This window comes from Homo sapiens, chromosome 9 (assembly GCF_000001405.40).
Source record: "Homo sapiens chromosome 9, GRCh38.p14 Primary Assembly".
Classification (NCBI taxonomy): domain Eukaryota; kingdom Metazoa; phylum Chordata; class Mammalia; order Primates; family Hominidae; genus Homo; species Homo sapiens.
The window spans coordinates 131,793,519-131,817,628 of NC_000009.12; the positions used below are offsets into that span (position 1 = coordinate 131,793,519).

Sequence of the window (24,110 nt, forward strand, 5' to 3'; positions counted from 1 at the left end):
CTCTCAAGTAGCTGGGATTACAGGCATGCACCAACATGTACAGCTAAATTTTGTATTTTAGTACATGTTGGCCAGGGTGATCACGAATTCCTGACATCTGGTGACCTGCCCACTTTGGACTCACAAAGTGCTGGGATTACAGGTGTGAGCCATCACGGTCAGCCTATTTTAAAATATTTTTTATTTGAGGTCTCACATGTTGCCCAGGTTGGTCTTGAACTCCCAGCCTCAAGTGATCTGCCTGCCTCGGCCTCCCAGAATGCTGGGATTACAGGTGTGAGCCATCATGCCCAGCATAAAGAGAGGTTTTTACGAGGTAGGAGCAGGAGACACCAGAACACATGAGAGTGTGTGAGGTGGCCATGGATGGCTGCTGACCCCCAGAGGGAGGGCAGGGAGAGGTGGGGTGGCTGAGGGTCAGCTGGTGGCCTCTGGAGCAGGCCACACTCCAGCCACGCTCCTGTTGGGCCCAGATGACCATGGAGGCATCCCCAGGGAATGTGGGGGACGGGGGTCTGGCAGCTCCTGGCAGCGGCCCCATTGGTGGGGACACTGACATTCTTCCAGGGTCGGAGGGAAGTACCCCAGGTCCGGACTGTGGGTAGAGGCCAGGACAGCAAAGGGGAGCAGGGTGAGGGGCCATGTGGGGGCTGCGGCTGAAACCGCTGTAGGGGCATGCATGATGCCCACTTCAGAAGCTCCTGGACACCTCTGGGCACCTGGTGTAGGTGAGGTGGGCAGGGTCCTGATGCCATGTGGGGGAGGCCGAGCCCGTGGGCATTAAGCATTCCCTAAAGGAGGAGGTTCTGGTTGAAGGTGTTCACATCCTTTGATTCTGAAACAGATGTGAGAGACGAGGAAGGGAAGGGGTAGAGCGATGGAGTGCCAGGGAGAAAGCCAGAGTGGAGGCACCTCCGGCTAATGAGTAGAGAGGCAGAGACACGGGAGAGGGCAGGGCGGGAAGAAAGGCAGAGATGAAACGTGTTGGAAGCACCGAGTTAATGCAACTACTAAGTGGTTCATATTTCCCAGCTAATAAGACCCCCTCTGCAGGGAGGAGGGGACGGGACAAGAAAGCACCGTGGTTCGAATGACTCAAGGCGCTGGAGCTAATGAAGTCACCGGGGACTCGGAATTCCTCGGATACGGCTCTGTGGCAATGCTATTTTAATTCAGTCTGAGGATGACAAAGGGAAGGGTGACAAAGGGAAGGGAAGTCTCCTGTTAACACGACAAGCTTGGGGTACAGGAATTGGGGGTTGAGGAGACAGGTACACTGCAAGGGGTTGTCTGACATGGGACAAAGGACTCAGGATGGACGCAGAGACAGGGAGGGGTGACACACGGTCCTGGGAGGCAGTGAGCACACCACAGATACACTCAGGGTGAACTGCACTCCTCGAACACAGCACAACGAAGCCCATCCGTCCATCAGCTAGTATTAATCCAGAGCCGCAGGCATGGGAAGGGCAGAGACCAGCCAGACTCAGGTCCCACGGGGCTGACCTCTCTGATTCCAGGCTGGAAGCAGCATCCTATTCTTTCAGCAGAAAGTACAGACTCCTCTGGGGAAGGGGGTCTTCCTCTGCCCACCTCTCAAGAAGCATCTGGCATTACCTCCTCCCTCCCCAATGTGCCAGTCCTCTGGGTCTTTCCTTCCTTCAGAACCTATTTCCTGCCTTGGGGCCCTTGCACCTGCTATTTCCTCAGCCTGGAATGCTCTCTGCTGCTAACTCATATACCTCCTTTAGCTTTCAGGCTTCTGATCAAATGTCGCTTCCTCTAGGGTGCTGTCCCTGATGCCTCAGACCAGGACAGGGCCTTGGACATTGTGTTAGTTTCCCGTGGCTGCTGTAACAAATGACCACAAAGCGGTTGCTTAAAACAATGGAAATTTATCCTCTCACAGTTCTGGAGGCCCAGAGTTCAAAATCAAGGTGTTGGGAGGGTTGGGTCCCTCTGGAGGCTCAGAGAGAATCTATTTCGTGCCTCTCCTGGCTTCAGGCAATCCCTAGTCTTGCTTGGCTTTTGGCTGCATGGCTCCAATCTCTACCTGTCTTCACACAATTCTTTTCTCCATGCATCTGTTTTCTTTTTAGTCTCTTAAAAGGACACTATCGTCGGGTTTAGGGTCCACTCCAATCCAGGATGATCTCATCTTCAGAGCCTTACCTTAATGACATCTGCAAAGACCCTTATTCCAAATAAAGTCACTGTCCTAGGCTATTCTTGCACTGCTATTAAGAAATACTTGAGACTGTAATTTATAAAGAAAAGAGGTTTAATTGGCTCACAGTTCCACAGGCTGTACAGGAAGCGTGGCTGGGGAGACCTCAGGAAACTTACAATCAAGGCAGAAGGTGAAGGGGAAGTAGGCAGATTTTAGATGGCCTGAGCAGGAGGAAGAGAGAGAAGGGGAGGTGCAACACGCTTTTTTTTTTTTTTTAGATGGAGTCTCACTCTGTTGCCCAGGCTGGAGTGCAGTGGTGCGATCTTGGCTCACTGCAACCTCCGCCTCCTGGGTTCAAGTGATTTTCCTGCCTCAGCTTCCCCAGTAGCTGGGATTACAGGCACATGCCACCATGCCCGGCTAATTTTTGTTTTACTATGTTGGCCAGGCTGGTCTCGAACTCCTGACCTCAAGTGATCTGCCTGCCTCAGCTTCCCAAAGTGCTGGGATTACAGGTGTGAGCCACCGTGGCTGGCCCAACACACTTTTAAACAACCAGATCTCTTGTTTAAAAACGTGGCACCCTCCCTTTCTCTCTCGCTCCCACTCTGCCATGTGAGACGCCTGCTCCCCCTTCACCTTCCTCTCTATGATTGGAAGCTTCCTGAGGCCTCCCTAGAAGCACATGCTGCTATGCTTCCTGTATAGCCCGCAGAACTGTAAGCCAATTAAATCTTTTTTTTTTTTTTCATAAAAAAACCCCAGTGTCTTGAGAACTCCATATCATGAGAACAGCACCCAGCGGATAGTGCTAAACCATTAGAAACTGCTCTCATGATCCAGTCGCCTCCCACCAGACCCCACCTCCAACAGGCCTGACCCAACTGGATTGGGTCATGGCCCTGCTGCATCCATGATGTCCAGCCAGGGCAGGTGCCTTGCAACTACTGCCGAGTGACTGATGGGACTGTTGGGCCCTTGGGAAGACTGGTGGGAGCAAGGGGGAAAGGACACACCCAGGGCCACCCCACCGAGGCTGTAGCTTTTGGTCCCACAGTGAAGAGCAGCCAGGAGGCCCCCCACCGACAGCCAGAACTGGAAGGGGCTTACAGGTCAGCCAGCTTAGTGCCTGTGTTAACAACTGGGGAGAACAAGACTCAGAGGAGGCCAGGCACGGTGGGTGGTTCACACCTGTAATCTCAGCACTTTGGGAAGCTGAGATGAGCAGATTACCTGAGGTCAGGAGTTTGAGATCAGCCTGGTCAACATGATGAAACCCCGCCTCTACTAAAAATACAAAAATTAACCAGGCGTGGTGGCATGCATTTGTAGTCCCAGCTACTCGGGAGGCTCAGGCAGGAGAATTGCTTGAATCCAGGAGGTGGAGGTTGCAGTGAGCCAAGATCGCACCACTGTACTACAGCCTGGGCGAAAGGGTGAGACTCTCTCTCAAAAAAAGAAAAAGACTCAGAGGAGACCAAGGGCCTCTCTGAAGGACACGGTGTGACCACATCACATCCTCAGCACTCTTCCTGTCCCCTTGCACTGTGTTCCCTGCCCGTAGCATGGATCTGAAACTTAGGGCCAATTCTCAGGACAGTATAGGGAAGGCATGGGTAGGAGCCCTGAGATGCCAAGGACGAGGTGCCGTCAGCTGGAGTCACTCCCACAAGCTTAGCCTTCAGAGGTTTCCTCTCAGTGTCTGCAAAGAACTCCAGTTTTCCTTAAATAGTTTCATTTTGCCTAATTATCCTCCAGCCGCAAAGCGAATAAGAGGCATGAGGGATTAAGGAGAATCAAGAGGAACAGGCATTAGGGCTGTGAGCTGGAAGTGGGGAGGATGGGGAAGCCAGGGCAATTGGAGAGTCGGGTCAAAGCATATACAAGTTGCACTCCGTTTGAGAAACAGTATGTCAGAGTGGCTAAGAGAGTAGGCTCTGCACTCAGACTGACCTGGGTTTGAGATCCATATGGCCACTGGCTAACTCAGGGACCTTGGGCAAGTTCCTTGACCTCTCTGAGCCTTATTCCACATTTGTAACTTCAGAATAATGATGTCTACTCCAAACATGGATTGTCAGGATTTACTGAGAGAATGGCACCATGCCTGGCTCTCAGTAAGGCTCAATAAACAATAATGATTATGCACAGAGGTCAGAGAGGGTAGAGGAACTTGGAAAGTTATAAAAAGGCTCAAAATCCCTGAGTTTGATTCTAAATGTCTTTGCAATCTAGTCCAGGAAGGCAGGGTCATGTCTGTCTTGTGACTACTGCACTGGTCCCAGCAACCAGCAAAGTTCCTGCCTATTGGAGGGCCTGCCTGGCTCCTGATTGAAAGGAAGAATCAATGAGTGGGTGAGTGAATGAAGGGCAACAGCCTTCCTTCTTTGCAGCTGCAGAGGCTGGGCAGTTATTGGGCCATGCAGGACTCAATCAGTCTGCCCTTTCTTGTTTTCTGGTGCCCTCCAGCCTTGACGCCATGTTTAGACCATTGATATTCACAGAATAATTTCCAGCATTGATTACTCAGATGGAACACCCTCCCTCCCAAGCTCCGCCGCCTTCCTCAGTCTTCCCCACCACAGGCGACTCCACCGAGTTTCCTGATTAATTCCCCTCCATAAACATTCTGATGAAGCCGCCAGCTCTCGCCAGGCAGCCTCCCAGAGCAAGGATTATTTCACAAAGCTGCTTTTCTCTTTGTGACCTGTGTTCATTAGCTGCTGCAAGGGTCACAGTCTGGGCTGCTTCAGTGGGGCCACCTCTGGGCAGGCAGTTCCCCTAGAGGAGAAGCTCTTCCCAGCCTGCCCAGGGTGGAGAAGGTCACCCCTGCCCAGACCCAGTGGCCTGGAAGCCGTGGGAAGTAGCACATTCCTGGCAAGGGAAGAGATGCTCTCAGTGGAGAAAATACTAGGTGGAGGCGCATGACACTTCTGATATTCAGCCATTTGCTGACCCATGAAAATGGCAATTCAATTTAATAGGACCCTCTGTGGTTGAGCCTAGAGAGAGGGAGGGGAAAAAGGAGTGAGGGGTCTGGAGTCAGAAACACAGGCAGTCCTGCTCTGTGTCTTCTCAGCTGTGTGGCTTGAGGAATGTGGCCTCATCCCTCTGGGCTGACTTGTCAAGTGTTGATAGCCACAGCACCGCCTTGCAGGGGGGTGTGTAGTTTCAGTGCAATCATTACATCACAGCCTGCTTCCGTGGCTGCTGCAACATCCCTGTGCCCTCAACAGCAGCTATTTTAGCAATAACGAGTGAGTTGGGGGCACTGGGATAGTGCAGCTGCCCACTGACTGGCTCCCCAGGTGCCTACCTTCACTTCTTCGGAGTCACTTCTCTGGCAAAGGCACCCAGGGGGTCCAGGAGACCTTGGACACAATGGATTTTAGTGGCAACCAGAGAGGTCCTCTATAGCCCACTTCCATGAGTGGATAAACATGGTGCCTGGCACAGACGGGATCCTCAACAAACTGAAATGAATGAGACAAGTGTATCAGCTGATGTCTTAGAACACAGAATTCAGCTTTGAGAAGTAAAAGATACAAAAAAAGTCATAGGAGGTTGGAGAGTGGGCATGGTGGGAGAGCAGCAGCCAGCTCCTGGGGGTGGGTTAGCAGGTGCTTTTATGGGGCCCTGGAAGTCACTGGCACTTTGAGCCTAAGGGTGTGGCGAGTGTCTGGGGAGCTGTCCGTGGTGCTGAAGCACAACCACTGGTGAGGGCAGCTGTCCTTTCAGTGCCTGTGCTCAGCGGAAGCCTGTCCCACTCCTTCAGGAATTCTGAGTCCAGAAAGGAAAGAAGCAGTGGAAAGGGAGGCAGAGAGTGAGAGGTGAGGCCTGCACAAAAGGTTATTCGTCAGACAATCACTGCCAGACTGGAGGAAGCACTTTTGTTTTCACATTATTGCAGTCACCAAACACTAATTCCCTCATGAGGGAAACATCGGCATCTCTCCCACCAACATGCTCCGAATGCCATCCTTTTTTCATTGCTGTGTAGTATTCCATCACATGAACTATACATAACTACCACAATTTGTTAACTCATTCTATTTTTTTTTTTTTGACAGACTCTTGCTCTCACTCAGGCTGGAGTGCAGTGGCACGATCACCGCTCACTGTAGCCTCAACTTCCTAGGCTCATGTGATCCCTCTGCCTCAGCCTCCTGTGTAGCTGGGGCACAGGCATGTACCATCATGCCCAGCTAATTTTTTTTTTGTAGAGATGGGGTCTCCTTATGTTTTCCTGGCTAGTCATGAACCCCTGGGCTCAAGCAGTCCTCCTGCCTTGGCCTCTCAAGATGCTGAGATTACAGGTATGAGCCACTGCACCTGGCCCCAATGCCATCATTATGGCAAAAGTCAAATCAATCTTGTGTCTCCAAATTTGTGATGTGCACCCACCCTCATTCCTCTTGTCTGGAACCTCTCTGCAGGTCACTGCCCACTGCTCCTTCCAGCTCCAGGCCTTTTGCCCTTCCTACTTTCCATCATCTCATCTGACCCATCCTTTAGAGCCTGTCTCCAGATTCTCCTCTTCCAGGAAGCCTCCCTTGACCACTTCAGCCCACTCTGCCTTCTTGCTCCTCTGACCACCTACTGAACTTGGAGCCAAGTTTAGCAAGCGCTGCTTTTCAAGATATTCTCCATAAGTGCTCTCTTTCTCCCCACTCAGTTGTGAGCTCTCAGGGGACCCAGTTCTTGCTTCTTTTACCTCCTTCCAGCAGAGCCAAGCCTGAATTCTGCATGAATATCAACATCAGCAGCAGTGGCATCAGCCACTGTGAATGAGCACTAAGGCTGTGTTGGGGCTGTGCTGCACTTCCTGTGCTTTATCTCACTGAAAACCCATGGTAACTCTGTGAAAGCAGATCCTATGATTACCACCATTATAATAGGAGGCTCAGAGGGACGAGGTAACTTGCCTAAAGCCATACATGCATGAGGGCTAGGGTTCAAGCAAAGGTCTGCCTGACCTCAGGGTCTAGTTCTTAACCAGCAGTCCATCTGATTCATAGCAGTGACCCATAATGGCAACACACATTCTGAAACCAGTCCCGCTCTGCTGTTTACTTATGTTGAGGCTGTACGCCTAAAGAACCAGCGCTAGAAGAATTGGGGATAGGAAGATTTTTTTTTTTAAAATCAGTACAGAGCAGAGAGCACTGCATTATTTTTCTGCCTCTAAGAACATTCTCATTACTTACAAATTACATTAATTTCTACAAACACTTATTGACACCCACTGCCTGCTGTGCACCCTGCGTTATGATGAGTACTGGATTAGACAGTCATAAATAAAACACACACTGGCACAGTCAGTCTGTGATAGAAGCTTTTAGAGAGAGAATTAGAAAAGGGCTCTGTGGCTCAGCCCCATCCTGGGGGCCCAGCCAATAGATGGCACCAGCTTCTATGCTTTTAGAAAGACCCTGGAGTGTCCAGAACACCGCTCAGACTCCTGCAGAGACATGAGGAACATGTGGGGCTGGGGCTCTGGAATTTTCAGGAGACAGTGAATCTTAGACACCTCTTACCTCTTGGCTGCTTTGCTTTGTCAGGTGGTTGGATAACATCAGATTGCCCAGGAAGCCAAACTGACCCACAGGATGGGTTTCTGTGTATGTGTGTGTGTGTGTGTGTGTATGTGTGTACATGTGTGCGTGTGTAGGGGGGTGAGGGGTGCACATGCATGCCTATACATTTCTGCATTCCTTCTCAATTGGAAATATATCAATGCTGACAAGGAACAAGGGTAGAAGCATGATATAATCACAAGGTTGCTGGAACATGGGTGCATGGTGGGGAAAATAAGTGAAAATCAATTTTCCCCTGGATCTGTGTGTGTGCGTGCATGTGTGTGTGTGTATAAAACTCCAGCCAGTGAGACAATGTTCACTCCTCTGAACAGCACTCAACGCTAATGCTGGGCAGAGCAGGGGCTTTCTGGGGAGCTCTTGGAATTGCAAGATTGGGATGAACAGGGATGGGAAGAAAGATTTATGAAAGGCCTGGTCAAGTTCTTTCCCCCTCCAGTCCCCAGAGAGGTCCCTCTGGGCAGCTTCTTGGTTTCAACTGGTCTCATCTTGGCCTGTACCAAGTAGCAGCCCCTCTGCTCTGAGACCCCCCCCTCCCACCCTCCTGAGCTCCACCCTGCATCCTCTTCCCTACATCTTTCCCAGAGGGGCTGTCATCGTGTCAAAAAGCCCAGTGATTTTAAAAGAAACTTTCTCTCCTTGTGCTTTGATTCTGCCGCGGTTTCCCCCGGTCTGCTAGAGAACAAAGGGCATGATTGAGTGGAAATGCGCCCCCAGCGTCTGCCTTGATTCCAGGCTCCTGTTGCTGGAGAGAATTTTGATCTCTGGTGTAGTGGCTTCCTCTTCTCCCTGCTGTGAGGGAAGAGTCAACGTCCCCATGTGCTTCCTGCGAGAAAGAAGGACCTCTCAGTCACTGCAACTCAAAAGCAAGATCCTTTCACCCACTCAACAAATATTGACACCTGCTGAATGCCAGACACCATCATAGTTGAGTGGAGTTAAGCAGTTGTCAAGTCTTTAGACAAAAACTTTGGCCCTTGTCTTATTCCATTTTTTGCTGATATACCAGAATACTGGAGACTGGGTAGTTCATAAAAAGCAGAGGTTTCTTTTTTACAGTCTGGAGACTGGGCAATCCAAGGTCAAGGGGCTGCATCTGGTGAAGGCCTTCTTGCTGTGTCATGTCATCCCATAGGTGGAAGGGCAGGAGGGCACATGCAAGACAAAGAGTGGAAGAGCCCCTATGACCTAATCACCTCTTAAAGGCCCCACCTCTCAACACTGTTGCATTGGGGATTAAATTTCCAACACACTAACCCAGGGGGACAGCAGCCCTCATGAAACTTGTGCTCTAGTGGAGAGTACAGTGGCTAGAGAGATACAGGGGCATATCCAGGCTCTACCATTTGCCAACTGTAAGACCTTGAGCAAATTAATTAACATCTCTCAGGCTCAGCTTTTCCATCTTCAAAAGGGAGAGAACAAGAGCATATTAGTTATCTGTTGCTACAATAATGCTGCATAACAAACAACCCCAAATTCTAGTGGCCTGCAACAGTAAGCATTTGCTTCTCATGCATCTGCAGTCAGCTAGGGGAGAAGGATCACGGGTCTTATAGCTTTGTAGGCATTGGCTCGGCTCACTCCCACGTTTGAGAGTCAGCCAGCTGTTGGCTGGGATGACTCGGGTGACTTGGTTCTGCTCCATGTCTCTTTCATCTTCCATCAGGTTAGCCTGGGTGTATTATCCTGGCGATGACAGAGGTGCAAGAATGAGAGCCAGCCCCATTACATACATGATTTTTGAGCCTTTGCTTGTATTAGTTTCTAACATCCCATTGGACAATGGAAGCCTCTTGGAGGATTCCAGAGTGAGAGTGCAAGGAAACTACAAATTCACACGGCAAAGAAGTGAATACAAGGAGGGATGAAGCATCAGTTCCATTTTTAAAGTCTACCATGGACTTTCCTCCTGGGGCTGTTGGGGGATAAAGGAGAATGGCATAAAGTCCTTGGCTCAGCTCCTAGTTCATAGCAAGGGCTACATCGGGAGCTAACTTAAAAAGAACAGAGGTCTTTGGGTGAATGAGAGCAAGGTTCAGGTAGGTCTTTTTCACTGTTATATCCCCAGTATAATAACTGCTGAATGAATGAGCTGACCACACAGTGAGTTGTTCTTGAGATCAAGGTGGCTGATTCCAGCAATTGTTCCATCCTACCTTCTGGAGGCTAATGGTTTCCCCTAGAAGGCCTTGGATGGAGCCATTCTTTGTCCACTATGGGGCTTCTTAGCCCTCCCAGAACTCGATATTTGGGTGAGAGGAATAGCTCCAGGAGCATACTGGGAGAGCATTCTCACTGTCAAAACTTCCAAAGAATGAGGGGGGAAGCTTCCTATCTGGGAGTGATTGTCGTATGGACCAGAGGTAGGAGGAGGGAGCAGGTGACCACTCAGATCCTTGTGCACACAAAGAACTACATTTCCCATCTTCCTTGGCAGTGAGATGAGGCCACATCACTGAGTTCTGGCCAGTGGGATGTGGGTGGAAGGGATCTATGCCACTTTCAGGCCTGTTCCCCCACCAAACCTCCTGCATAATCTCCCATAGCTCTCTCTTTCCCGGTCTTCTCATCAGATGCACAGGGTCCAGAGAGGAACTCCAAGGCTCTAGGACAGGGGTCAGAAAACTGAGGCTTACAGGCCAAATCCAACTCTCTGCCTGTATTTGTAAATAAAGCTTTATTGGAACACAGTCATGCCCATTCATTTCTAGGTTGTTTATGGCTGCTTTTGCACCACAATGGTAGAAATCATTAGTTGTCACTGAGTGGCCTGAGAAGCCTAAGATATTTCCCATCTGGTCCTTTAGGGAGAAAGCTTGTTGACTCCTGCCCTGGGGGATGGTGGAGCCACCACCCAGGATGGTAAGGAGCCTGGGGCCCTGGATGACTGTGTGGAGTACGGGCTCCTTCCCAAGAGCCTGCGCTGGACAGTGACACAGCAAGAAGGAAGCTTTTACTGTGCTGACGCACTGAGATTTGGGAGCTGATTGTTTTAGCAGTCAGTCTACCCTGGATACACACTGCCCAAGGAGCTCTGACTCTGGGATGAGCAGAAACATGGCTTCCTATTCATCTTCATCCTCTCTGTGCCCTGCACACCTAGGAAGCTGACTTGTCTCCAGGCTAGGGCTCATGCAAGAACCAGTTGGACATCCCATAGTCGCTCGGACCTGGTGGCCTATCTGCCACCAGGGTGACTGCCATCTGGGTGAGGTCACTTTGACAGAGTGGTAGGGGTCCTTCTCTCCTCATAGGAGGATAAAGCAATAAGAAGACCAGAGCCAGGAACAGGAAGCCCCTGGGAAGCCCAGGCTGGTGCCAGTCTGGTGGTTCTGGTGAGGCAGCCTTGCTCTCAGACCAACCATTTTAGGAAACTTGAGCTTGAGAGTTTGTTGATTAATGGCTGTGCAATCCTAGATAAGTTACTTAACTCTCCCTCCCCAAGCTTCAGTTTTCTTATCTGTGAAATGTGATCAAGAGTGCCTATATCCTAGAGTTGCTGGTAATAGCAAGATCTTCAGCAGCAAGGGATGCCCCCACTCTAGAGTGCCATTTACATGCACAGTGCCATTTCTCTCTTACTCTTATTCTCCATGTTCTGGGCCCTGGAGCCATGTCCCTCCCCAGGAAACCCCCCTGCCTGCAGCCCTAGCTTCCCAGGCATGGCCCTGACACCTGGCACAGCCACCTGCACCTGGTGCTCACCTGCACTGGTTTCTCTCTTGAGATTTCGACCAAGAGGAATTGAGGGGGAGGGGGAGCTCAGAGGGTGCAAGGCAGCCCTGGAGCCAGGGGCCATGCTGGGCCACATGCCAGAGGAGCAAAGAGAAGAATCCAGCTGTTAGATGAGGGAAGTCGCCCCATGGAGAGGAACATCCTGGTCTCCAGGATACAGGCTGCCCAGTGGAACTTTCTCTGCCCAGTGGAACGTTCTACATTTGCACCGGCGGCCAGGTGGGGGTGAGCTCTCTTAGGCTCGGTCTTGGTTTATGACACGTGGCTACTGAGTACTTGAAATGTAACTAGTACCACAGAGGAACTGGACAGTAAACTTTATTTACTTGAAATAAATTTAAATTGGACTTAGTTTTGTTTTTTGAGACGGAGTCTCCCTTTGTTGCCTAGGCTGGAGTGCAGTGGCGTGATTTCAGCTCACTGCAACCTCTGCCTCCCAGGTTCAATCGATTCTCCTGCCTCAGCCTCCTCACTAGCTGGGATTACAGGCACCTGCCTGACAAATTTTTGTATTTTTAGTAGAGACAGAGTTTCATCATGTTGGTCAGGCTGGCCTTGAACTCCTGACCTCAAGAGATCCACCCGCCTCAGCCTCCCAAAGTGTTGGGATTACAGGCGTGAGCCACTGCGCCTGGCTGGACTTAGTTTCAATTCAAAGTGGCTAGTGGCTGCCATCTCGATCAACATACAGTGAGTGCTTCCTAGTCAACCTCTCAAGGCCCTAGATACACTTGGGGTCTTTCCTGCCCTTATGCCAGGAGCTGTTTCGCCTTTACAAGCCCACCTCCTTTGACTTGAGCCACCCTCAGTGCGGTTGCTTCTGAAACCTGGAGGTTTAGGGCTGAGGTCAGCCCCAGCCTGGGTTCCTGGGGCTTGGCAAGGCTGCAGTGTTGTGTGTGTGTGCATGCATGCATGTGCACATGTGTGTACCTGCGGTGGGAGAGAATGGGCAGATCATGACAGAGGGAGCCAGGCAGGCACGATGGAGATGCAAGCCAGACACACGCTTTCCCCTTGGTGGGTGTGGCCTTGAACCTCAGCGTTTGCCTGCAGTTTCCGCTACACGAAGCTCTCAACAGCAGAATGTTTGAAATGAGCTGTTCTGGGAATGTGTTTCCCAGGCCATGCATTCCCGAAGCAGCATTATTTATCCTGTTCCTTCTCAGACCCACTTTTCATTTTGCCTCCCGATCTGGCAGCTCCAGAGGTGTCAAAAAGAACAGGTGGAAGAGGAAGGGATTCTCAGATTTGCAGGACACGGCGGCACGCAGGGGCTATGCTACCACCGACTGGAGCAGAGTCACGAGAGCTCAAGCGCTCATGGTGCCACTGGTTTGCTAGGTGACCTTGGGCAGGTCAATGAACCCCTCTGGGTCTCCGTGTTCCCATCTGTTGAGAGGGTTAAGTGAGGCCTAGGACAGGCCTGTGAGGAAGCGAGGGGCTGGTGTCATGGGTGTCATGCCACACATCTCCTGCTGAGCCCAGAGACACCAGGAACTTGCTTCCAGGGAACAAACATGGACTAAGTCACAACTGCCATAAGCTGGTAGCTTCTCACTTGGAGAGCGAAGGAACTCCTCGGTTAAATAAGATCTGAAGCCAAAGCGAATGCATGAAGGGGAAAAGGCAGTGGGGTGGTGAGGAGGGGCTGAGGAGCCAGGGCACCTCCCAGCACTGTGGGGAGACCTAGCCTCTGGCCAGGACCACTGTGGGGCTCTTGGGAAGAGGATTTGGAGGTCCAGAGTCCATGTGCCCCTGCCCCCACCCTAACTTGGCTAAACTGTTGGCATATTCTGTAACGCTGTTGGAGCCTCGGCTTTCTCATCTGCAAAATGAGGATGATGACAGCAGCTGGGTCCTGTGAGGGCAGCTGGGACAATTCAGTGTGCTATTGTATCTGAAGCCTGGCACACAGTAGGTGTGCAAAAAATAACTCCAGCTGGTGCAGAGAAGAGGGCTGTTCAGAGAGGAGACTGGGATGATGGGACCTGCCTATACCTGTTTTAAATAAAATTTTTTGGTCTTTTTTCTTTATGCAAGCCATTCATTCCACAAGCTTATACCTTTTTAAGTGCAGCCTCTAGGCCGAGAGAGAGCAGAGTAGCCTGAGGGGGAGAGGTGCCCAGAGTAAAAGCCCCTCTCCTGGCTGTGACCTTTGGCGACCCTTCCCCTGCAGGGCCCTGGAGCTCACCTCTAAAGGGAGGGGTCGAGCCAGCACACCTGGAGGTCCCTCCAGTCTGAAGGTTTCCATAGGTCCCCTCCCCGCCTCCCCCACCTCCCTGCTCTAAGAGGGAGCCTGGAGGAGAGCGCCGGTGGGGGAGGAGGCTTCTGGCTTCCTTCCACCCAGCCTTGCCCTGGGGTTCCCGAGTACCTTGAATTCATTAGCGGCTGCAGCTCTGAGCGTTGATTAAAAAGACGCTGGTTTTTTTAATTCCTTCTCTTTTCCCCTTGGTTCTTTCCCGGAGCAGTGATTTCAATTTGCAGCCGGCTCCCTCTGGGATGGAGGGGAGGGTGGGGCTGGGAGCTTGGCCGTGACTAGCTGGGGGTGGGGGCGGGGGTGGGGACCTGGGCAACCTCTCTTCCCTTTCTCTGCTCCTCTCCTCCCTTCTTCTCCTCCACGCCCCTGGCTCCCCCTATACTCCCCCTCCCTCAGTTGCAGGCCAGGATTTGACACACCTGCAGTGCACATTGATTGCCTGATTAAGGGAAGATTGATTGGTCCCTGCTGTCATTAGCATATAGTTAGCGGTGACCCCTCTGCTTGGCCTCCAGCCTGCGCTGACCTGAATGGCTCCAACAGCTCAACAGGAAATGGGAACTCGGCGAGAGGAGGGGCTGGCCTGGCCTGGTCTGGCTGTCAGCCCTGGGCCAATAGGGGACCCCTAGGGCCCTGGACCTTCCAAGGGGATCAGTGGACTATCTTCCTTTCTTCTGAATGGGGAGGTTGAATGCAACGCTTTCTAAGTGAGAAGAGAGTTGTGCAGCCTTACCTCCCCAAACCTGCACCATCTTTTCCCAACCCTCCCAGCTCCTCCGCACACCTTGGACTTGAAGCGCCTTTAAGCCGAGCTTTCCTCTCCTTCTCGGAGACTTTTTTTTTTTTTTTTTTTTAAAGAGACAGGGTCTTGCTTTATTGCCCAGGCTGGAGTGAAATGGAGTGAACACGGCTCACTGCAGCCTCAATCTTCTGGGCTTAGGTGATCCTCCTGCCTCAGCCTCCTGCGTAGCTGGGACTGCAGGCGTGTGCCACCACACCATCTAATTTTTAAGTTTTTTGTAGAGACTGGCTCTTGCCAAGTTTCCCAGGCTGGTCTCAAACTCCTGGGCTCAAGTGATCCTCCCGCCTCAGCCTCCCAAACCGCTGGCATTACAGGCGTGAGCCACCGCACCCAGCTTCTCTGGGAGACTCTTGCTTTCAAAGCACATTCACTCTGGTTTCCCACAGGGAGAAGCAGCCAGCTGCTGGGTGTGTCAGGAGGTCCAGGTCCTCTCTTGGGCTCTCATAGCTCCTCCCTAGGCCACTCGCTGCAGGACTTGGGATTTTTTTGTTGAATGATTGTCTCCCCTTTGAGTCGCTGAGGGCGGGGAACCTGCTGTATCTGTATCTGTGGCCCAGCACAAGCACCAGGGGTTAGAGTGCATATCTCCCCCTCCCTCCCCATTTCCAGGGGAAAACTATTTTGAAACTGTCAAGAGTACGTAAAACTAGCTCTAAACACTGAAAGGGAGCCACAGTTCTATTTGCTTGGTGGCTGCAAAAGGTCTAGTTTTTTCCTAAAGCAAAACCCAGCAATGCCACTGCTCTGCGAGGGGTCGGGTGGATGACCCCAGAGCGCCGGGTCCAGCTGAATCTCCCAGCCACGCCTGCTGGGACGGTGAGGTCGCTGCAGGTGGGAGCTCCTGCGTGGGGCTCATTCATTCTCTGTCCTCAGAACCCCACCCTGTGCAGATCCTGTGGCTGGGGCCTGGAGCGGGGGCACACCTTGAACACAAGCTTTAGGGTCATGTTTGAATCTGGTTCAGTCACTTAGCAGCTTTGTCACCTTCTGCAAGCTCACCACCTCTCTGAGCCTGATTTTCCTCCTCTCTGAAATAGGATGACAATAACTATCCTAGAAGGATTGCTAAACGCTTTGAGATAATCTATGTGCACAGCACATAGTAGGCACAAAGAAAAGGGAAAAGGAAGACTAACGTTTGATGTTTTCATGCTGCCATATTATGGTTTGCTTATTGGCCTCCTGAAAGCATGTTATTTGAAAACAAATATAAAGGATATTATAAGCTCTATCACCACATCGGAGACGCCTCATTCATCCCAGCACCACTGCTGGTGCCTGCACAGTGTCAGGGACATGGCAGGTGTGCAAGAGATGTTGGGTGAGTTGATGGATTTTGGACTCAAGGTGCTCTGGGGCCCTGCGCAGCGCCCCTTGACAGGGTGCCTGGCTCAGCCCTGTGGGCTGAGATCCCTTGGCCAGGGCTTTTAGAGGATGACAACGATGGATGAAGTCAAGCCTAGGCAACCCCTCCAGCAACTCTGAAGGGAGATTCTCCACCTGGCTACAGTGAGGGGAGCGATGGGCCCGTGGATGGCAGTGGGGGACCCACAAAGGGGTTGGGAAGGAGATAAGGTCTGGTGAGCATCCTTTGGTCAACAAGAGACAAACTGTACCCACTGGGCTGAGCAGATGTCCATGTCCCCAGCCACATGCTGAAATCCTGGGGAGGTGGAGCTCCATGACACCAGTAGCCTCCTGGGCAAGGTCACTTTGAGCTCAGGCCATGGGTGGCCCCGTGAGGATGGCCGTGGGACACCCTTTGATCTGGTCCAGCCTGCTGGTGGGCACACAGGAAACCTCAGGACCCAGGAAGCAGCAGTTCTCGGGTATAGGAATGGGGTTGGAGGGTACCCTGCTGCAATGCCCAGGATATAGCAGCCTCTGGCAGGGCCAGGCAGAGCCAGGCGGTGCGAGCCAGGGGGGCGAGGCAGTCCCAGCTGGCTGGGCCAGAGAAGCCTTCCTGCGAAGTCGCAGCCCTTTGAAACTGACTAATAAGGTTTTCTTCCCTTTCTAAGTTGAATGAGTCAGGAGCTTCATATAGGATCCCATCTGTCTGCTCCATCCCTGCCAGTTGGATTCTAGGCCTCTAGCCAATTAAAAAACCCAAACTAGCTTAGTGGGAATCTGCTTGACTGGTTTGGTGAGAGCTCTGTTTTCCCTCGGTGGAACAGAGGCCTCTTGGCTGCCCTTCTGGGTCGTGCCTGAGAAGGAGTCTGGAATCCTGCAGCCAAGGAGCCGGGATGGCTTGAATTAGGACCAGGAGGTGGCAAGCTGCAAGGAGATGGAGCCCAGCTACACAGAGCAAAGACGTCGTTCCCCAGGCTGTTCATCGCTGGAGCCCACCGCACTCTGGGTCTCAGTGCTTGGCCAGGCGTCGGGGAAACTCAGCTTGACCGGGATGTCTCCCCCGCGGTGCTCCAGGCCCTCGAGGACTCAGTGCTGACCGTACCTGGAATGAATGAACATGTGCCAGGCGGGGGCAGGGGGATCTCATCACCAGAGCTGGTCACATACGGGCTTTCAGTCCCTCGCTCACACCACAGCTGGCCGGTTGCATGGGACAAGGCCCCGGGATTCCCTGAGGCTGAATGAGCTGGAGCTGCCGGAGGTGTGGGCAGGACGGAGGGTGGGTGGCCTGTGTGTCACTGGGATTAGGCTTCCTGGGCCATCACCTGCTTCTCCTAGGAGAGGGGTGACAGCGTGAGGCTCAGCAGGGCAAGTGCCACCCAGAGGCCAGATGCAGCAAAAGAGTAAGCAAAATCCCTTGAGGGTAGGGTGGGAAGAGTTGCTGTAAAACCTGTGCACTTTGCTCAGACAGGACTGTTACAGCTATGAGGAGAAACGAAGGTGTCTGCAGCCAGCCCGCAGCAGAGCAGACGAGCTCTTGAGCAGGCACCTGCTCCTGTTAGGGGTGGACCCTTGGTAGCAAAGAGACAACAGCTGTCAACAAAATAAATGAGGGCTGGATGTAGTGGCTCACACTGGTAATCCTAGCATTTTGGGAGGCTGAGGCGGGCAACATAGTGAATATTCATCTCTAAAACAAAACAAAACAGAACAAAACAAAAAAGGAGGTGGGTATGGGACCGTGCATTTTGGGGCCATTTAGTGCAGGAGAAGCACTGGGCAGAACATGTAGCTATTAATGAATGTGCTTATCATGTCAACGCCTCCCCACATGCAATAGCCCATAAATTCTGTTTTTCTTTTTTCTTTTTTTTTTTTTTGAGATGGAGTCCTGCTCTGTTGCCCAGGCTGGAGTGCAGTGGCACAATCTCAGCTCACTGCAACCTCTGGCTCTCAGGTTCAAGCGATTCTCCTGCCTCAGACTCCCAAGTAGCGGGGATTACAGTCTCCTGCCACCATGCCCAGCTAATGTTTTTGTATTTTTTAGTAGAGATAGGGTTTCACCATGTTGGCCAGGATGGTCTCGAACTCCTGACCTCAGGTGATCCGCCCGCCTTGGCCTCCAAAGTGCCGAGATTACAGGCATGAGCCACTGCGCCTGGCCAATTGCCAATAAATTCCAATGTTTTTAGGATCAGGCCCGCCATCCTCACCACGTTCCATCATAGCCTCATCTCATGCCTCCCTGTCTGGAGCCACTCTGACCTGGTTCCCGGAGCCCTCCGTGCTCTGCCTCCAACCCCGAGGGCCTTTGCACTCACAGTCCTTTCTGCACAGTGCTCTCTCCTCCCTTACCTCAGCTGCTGGCCTCTCTCTATGGACACCCTGGGGATCGGATGTCAACCCCAGCCCTCCCTGACCCCGGGGCCGGTCCACGCTGCTTCATCCTGGGTTGTCACCAATGCTCACCCCTTTCCCTCAGGGCGAGCTTTGAGCCTTGAATGCCACCCGGTCTCTCTAAGATTGCTTGATTCATGCCTCGTCTGCCCCACCTGACTGTAGGACCCACTGGAACAGGGATGTCGTCCCCCTTTGTCACTGTTTTACCCTGAGCCCAGCACAAGGCTTGGCTCATAGAGGCTCCCACGAAACTGTTCTCACCTGAGAGTGACCCCGAAAAGTTCAGGACACTGGCATGGAAAAGGCGACTGCTTCTCACGAGGCCAGAGTCCCTGACTTGGAATTCAGCAGTTTAGAGAGGGTTTCCAGACCCAGCCTGAATTCACATTTTCACTCTGGCGCCATTGGCTGGCTTAGCGGGGACCTTGAGAAAGCTGAGTTAGCTCTCCGAGCAGGTGTTGTCACCTATTCCTTGGACAGGGCAGGGGGAGGAGTCGCTGAGATGACACAGCACACAGAGCCCTTGGCACAGATCCTGGCACAGGGGGTGCTTAGTGGCCGGTGGTGGGGGAGGCAGGGCAGCGGTTCTGAGGCCTGGACACCTCTCATCTCTGGCTAGGGGTCAGGTGAGGAATTTTCCCTGGCTGCCCCAAAGCAGCAGCTGCCCGGAGCTGGCAGGGCGGGTGAGGCCCTGCAGAGACCTGGAAGGCGTTCGGGCCACGGGCTGCAGGCACGGTTGGCAGCAGCGGCTCCGCTCCAGCCTGGTGACCTCTGCGAGGAGCTGCCTCTGCTCCCCTCTGGCCACTCTCTGTCCACAGCCAGTACAGCCTTCAGGAAGAACGAGGAGGACTGGAGTCCCCACAGGACGTCAAGCCCTCCCTGTGCCCGGGCTGCCGGCACCTGCCCTGAGCTTCCGCAAGACTGCCCTTTTCCCCTCATCAGACCCCGATAAGATACCCAGCTGCACGTTAACCAGCCGCACTGTGTCCAGTGGCTCACAGCACTGGAGACTCAGTTTCCCCAACCCTCATCTGTAAAGTGGAGATAAGAATTCCTGCTGGATGCAACGAGAAGATGTTTATAAAATTGCCTGGCACAAAATAAGTCCTTAATAACGCTAGTTCCCTTCTCTGTTCCCTGTACCAGCTGCTTTTCCCCTGAAGTGCTCTGTCCCCTCCATTGTAGAAGCAGAAGTCTCTCCCTAGTTTTGGGAACGGATTTCAAACTCCTTCCCACAGAAGAGTTGAGGCACACAGTGGGTTCTCCCCAGTGGGAGGCGGTATTCATTAAAGAGTAGGCTTCGGCCAAAGATATCAGGCAATGATGGTGATATTTCAGGCATTGAGATTTTGAGGCTGGGGCTGCTCTGCCCGTGAGTCACTGGCCTCTGACAAAGGATGAGGTGGCAGGAGGAGGTAGCCAGACCATGCGATGAGGCGTTCAGTCCCAGCTTCTCCACTGCCTAGCGGTGTGACCTTGGCTGGGTCTCCTGACCTCTCTGAGCTTCCTGGTCTGTAACATGTGGGTAATAATCAGTGGTAATTCCCACCTCCCAGGGGTGTGCTGGGGATTACGTGGGCTCTTCCTGCAGCACAGGGCTGACCCATGGCAAGAGTTCAGGGCGTCACAGGTCCTGCCGTTGTTTGAGACGGAGTCTCACTCTGTCACCCAGGCTGGAGTGCAGTGGCAAGACCTCAGCTCACCGCAACCTCCGCCTCCCAGGTTCGAGCCATTGTCCTACCTCAGCCTCCTGAATAGTTAGGATTACAGATGTGTGCCATCATACCCAGCTAGTTTTTGTATTTTTAGTAGAGACGGGGTTTCACCATGTTAGCCAGGCTGGTCTTGAACTCCTGACCTGAGGTGATCTGCCCGCCTTGGCCTCCCAAAGTGCTGGGATTACAGGCGTGAGACACCGCACCCAGCCCTGCTGTTGTTTTTCTTTTCATCACTGACAGTTGGCAGTGTGTTTGGCCAATTCATCAGCCCCAAACCCTCCTCCCCAGCAGCACAGCTGAGGGAACGCAGCTCAAGGCTTGGGGAGGTGCAGACATTTCCAGAATGCTAACAACCTGATTTCTTTGAGAGCACACCTCATGTTTGGCCTTGGACTGGCTAGCTGTGTTGGTGGCTGGGTGGGCTTCCAGCTTGGGGAGGGAGGCCCCGTGAGGCCGAGGGACCCCAGCAAGACCACTGTGTCCCAGAACCTCTGTTTGTTCATAAGTGAAGCTGCTGTCTCTCTGGGCTGCCTGGCGCTCTCGAGGGCCTGGCCAGTGAGAACAGAGAAGCCCAGGCCACAGCATCAGGGATGGGGCTGGAAGTGGAGAGGGCTGTGAGTGGGAGGCCTTTGGACATGCAGCGTCTCAAGGCCATGGGAGGGTAGGGTTTCCTGGACCTGCCCGCAGGGGAAGTGACCCTGGCCGACCTGCCCGCAGGGGAAGTGACCCTGGCCACCCTGCCGCTCAGTGTGGGCGCTCCTGGCACTTCCCCAGAGGTAGCTTCTTAGTGCTGTTAGGTGGAGGGTGCTGGGAAGCCGGTCCAGGCCCCCCAAGCACAGACTGAATGGGTTGCCTGGTTCCCCAGGTTCCTGAACTGGGGGCAGTGGGGCCACCTGGGTTGATACCTGGGAGGAGGGACCCCCCTGCTGCCAGACCCCAATAAGGGGAGCAGGGCTCCGCCAAGACAGCTGAGAGCGCCAGGCTGGAGTGGGACTCTGAGACAGAACTGGGCAAGAAAGCATCTCTGTCCCCAGCTCTCCTGCCCACAGGAAGCAGAAAGGCAAGAAAGCCCCAGTGATGTGGAAGAGGCAGGCAGGAAGGTGGGGGAGACCCCTGCCCTGGCCAAGGCATGAGTGAGGGAGGGGGGTGGCTGTGTCCCCATCACACTCCATCATAGCCAGGGAACAAGCTCTCCCCATGAAAGCTCCGGGCTTCCTCTCCCCTCCCTGGATACCATTTTCCCATGGGGTTTGCTGCCATCCTGGTGGGAAAAGTAATTAGGTGACCAAGTACCCAAAAGTAATTAGGTGATCCCATCCCAGGTGGAGCTCACCCCTCTTCCTCCAGGAAGCCTTCCTGGATTACCCTCACCCCCACTGAGCACCCTTTATCCCTCTGGGGCCCAGTCGCCCCTCAGGCGGTTGCCATGGGATCCTGTGGAGACACAGGGGAAGGGGTCAGTTCACATCCATGGAACAGCAAGCCCTTCACGGCGACCCACTCAGCACCGTGAACTCAGAACCATCCAGTTCTAAGTTCCTAGCAGCATCCAGGTAGCTTCCCAAGTTCCCAGTCAGCATCCACCAAGGGACCAGCCCTTCCTCTGCATGAGTCAGCTGTACTGAGGACAGGGAAGGGTGGGCAGAGGGTGGGAAGAAGCTTTGAATCTTTCTCTTTGGCTGATTCAGCAGCATCAATGACATGAGATGGCTCTTCAGTAGGCTACAGTTAGAAAACGGCAATGCGGGTCAGCCATGGTGGCTCACGCCTGTAATCCCAGAACTTTGGGAGGCTGAGGCGGGTAATCACTTGAGGTCAAGAGTTCGAGACCAGCCTGGCCAACATGGTGAAACCCTATCTCTACTGAAAATACAAAAATTAGCTGGGCGTGTTGGCACGTGCATGTAGTCCCAGCTACTCAGAAGGCTGAGGCAGGAGAATCGCTTGAACCTGGGAGGCAGAGGTTGCAGTGAGCCGAGATCGCACCACTGCACTCCAGCCTGAGCAACAGAGCAAGACTCCATCTCAAAAAAAAAAAAAAAAAGAAAAAAGAAAGAAAACAGCAACATTGCATAGCATTTTTCGAGCACTTCTTGCAGGCCAGGGACAAGGCTAAGTGCATTCTGTGCATGCCCTCCCTGCGTTCTGACCGCATCTTTGAGATCACTTACTGTTCCCACTGTTTGGTCATGGAATGGGAGGCTGAGAGGCTCGGAAATGGCCCGGGGTCTCGCGGCTGTAGCAGGAGCTGGTGCTTGTCAAAGGCTACCTGTGCCCCTGAGAGGGGAGAGCACTTGAGCCCAATTTAATAACCAGTCTCTCTCCTACATTCATCCCCATTCTACAGATCAGAAAACAGGGGTTTTGAGTTCAACAATCACCTGGAGATATCACGAGGAACCAGGGGCTGATATGGAGCTACAGCCCAGGTTCCTGATTCTAAATCTGGTCCTCCTTCTACCCTAAATATTTCCCTGACTCACTCCCATCAGTCATTCTCGCTGCCGTGGGCTAAGAAGGATTCAGAAGCCATGCTGGGGATCGATGGGAATGAGCACGGGGATGGATTAGCAATGCCTGCCAAGGGCGTGGGCAGGGGAGTGGCAGACTGCCTGCTACACGTTGCCATCCTGCATGATACCCTGCTGGCCTGGAGCTGATTGACGCTTTCCTGCCCCAGCAGTTGAGAAGTCCATTTATTTCCCTCCAGGGGCCTCACAGACCCATTTACCCCAGAGCTGTGGGTCTGGGGGATTCAAAGAGAGACCTGGTGACTGTGACAGCCTCTGGAAACCTGAGTCGACATTGTCTGCTGGGCATTAGTGGTGATGCCCCAGGTGCTCAAGCCTCTCTGCACTCTAGGTCTTAGACTGAGCCACTGGAGGGAGGAAGCTGGGGTTTTTAGTAAACCTTTCTGGAGAATGTCTTTTGGAGCTGGTCTGTATTAACCTGGAAGAATTCCCCTGGGCTCTGAATCCAGAGGCGGGGGTTTGGGGGGCATTTGGAATCTACTGTATCATTTTCCTAAGAGCCAAGTGAAACGCAAGCTCCAGCTGCCGCTGGCTCCCAAACCGCAAGCTCGGGCTCGTTCTGTAGCTTGAAGTTGCAGTAATAAATTTTCCCCTGTGAAACCTGCGGAGGCGCTTCTCATCTACTCTCCGTGGTTGCAGCCCAGGTTGTTGCAATAGTAAGCGCATACTGCATGTGAGTTGCAGAAAGAAGGGAACAGATGGTGAACACAACATTGCACCTGGGTACTAGTTAGTTGTGTTGACCACGTGGGTTATAAAGACTTCATCTCAGAAGTCACTTTGCTACTTCTGTTGGATATTGGACATTATCGTACAGGTTTGAGGAATGGTGAGTTCACAGACTTCATCCAGAGTGGTGAAATCTAGAAGCAGAAATGAACTAAAGAGTGAGAAAGGAGAGCGATGGTAATGACAGTCAGAGTGCTAGGTGCCGTGTGCCGAGGGCTGTGCGAGGCTCGGTGCTGAGTGATGCTTTGTGAATATTCCAGTTAATGTCCACGACAACCCCATCAATGGGGGCTTAGGCCTATGCTGCAGATAAGGGAGTGGAGGTCCAGAGAGGTTATATAACTTGCCAGGGTCACACAGCCAGTAAGAGGCAGAGCTGAGATTTGTGCAGCTGGCTTCTAAAGTCCCATCAGCAATGGGTTGGGCTGCCCGACTTTGCTGTGCAGAGCCTGCAGTGCCAGCCTGTGTCAGCAGAGAGCCTGGAGAGGCCCTCTCTCCCTGGAGGGGCATGGGCTGGGCAGGGCTTCCCAGTGGCTTCCCTCTGCTGGTCTTGGAACTGGACCCTGAGCCAGGGTGAGAGCCAGCTTTCCCCAGGAGGTTTTAGATTTCTGAATTGTCAGAACCCTTATTCATTTATTTATTTTTTGCGATGGAGTCTCGCTCTGTCACCCAGGCTAGAGTGGAGTGCAGGGGTGCCATCTCGGCTCACTGCAACCTCTGTCTCCCGGGTTCCAGCAATTCTCCTGCCTCAGCCACCTGAGTAGCTGGGATTACAGGCGTGCACCACCACGCCCGGCTAATTTTTGTATTTTTACTAG

General features: G+C 52.8%; 6 annotated features.

The window, feature by feature from the left end:
• Positions 507–1,011: an enhancer, noted in NCBI's record as "H3K4me1 hESC enhancer chr9:134669412-134669916 (GRCh37/hg19 assembly coordinates)". NCBI's record gives its function as "activates a minimal SCP1, AML or CMV promoter by ChIP-STARR-seq in primed H9 embryonic stem cells {active_cell/tissue: H9 hESC(primed)}" and the evidence as "EXISTENCE:reporter gene assay evidence [ECO:0000049][PMID:30033119]".
• Positions 5,804–5,994: a silencer, noted in NCBI's record as "fragment chr9:134674709-134674899 (GRCh37/hg19 assembly coordinates)". NCBI's record gives its function as "represses an EF-1alpha promoter that drives an FKBP-Casp9 reporter gene in an ReSE screen in HepG2 liver carcinoma cells {active_cell/tissue: HepG2}" and the evidence as "EXISTENCE:reporter gene assay evidence [ECO:0000049][PMID:32094911]".
• Positions 11,494–11,993: an enhancer, noted in NCBI's record as "H3K4me1 hESC enhancer chr9:134680399-134680898 (GRCh37/hg19 assembly coordinates)". NCBI's record gives its function as "activates a minimal SCP1, AML or CMV promoter by ChIP-STARR-seq in naive H9 embryonic stem cells {active_cell/tissue: H9 hESC(naive)}" and the evidence as "EXISTENCE:reporter gene assay evidence [ECO:0000049][PMID:30033119]".
• Positions 13,862–14,797: an enhancer, noted in NCBI's record as "OCT4-NANOG-H3K27ac-H3K4me1 hESC enhancer chr9:134682767-134683702 (GRCh37/hg19 assembly coordinates)". NCBI's record gives its function as "activates a minimal SCP1, AML or CMV promoter by ChIP-STARR-seq in primed H9 embryonic stem cells {active_cell/tissue: H9 hESC(primed)}" and the evidence as "EXISTENCE:reporter gene assay evidence [ECO:0000049][PMID:30033119]".
• Positions 20,172–20,672: an enhancer, noted in NCBI's record as "H3K4me1 hESC enhancer chr9:134689077-134689577 (GRCh37/hg19 assembly coordinates)". NCBI's record gives its function as "activates a minimal SCP1, AML or CMV promoter by ChIP-STARR-seq in naive H9 embryonic stem cells {active_cell/tissue: H9 hESC(naive)}" and the evidence as "EXISTENCE:reporter gene assay evidence [ECO:0000049][PMID:30033119]".
• Positions 23,352–23,853: an enhancer, noted in NCBI's record as "H3K4me1 hESC enhancer chr9:134692257-134692758 (GRCh37/hg19 assembly coordinates)". NCBI's record gives its function as "activates a minimal SCP1, AML or CMV promoter by ChIP-STARR-seq in naive H9 embryonic stem cells {active_cell/tissue: H9 hESC(naive)}" and the evidence as "EXISTENCE:reporter gene assay evidence [ECO:0000049][PMID:30033119]".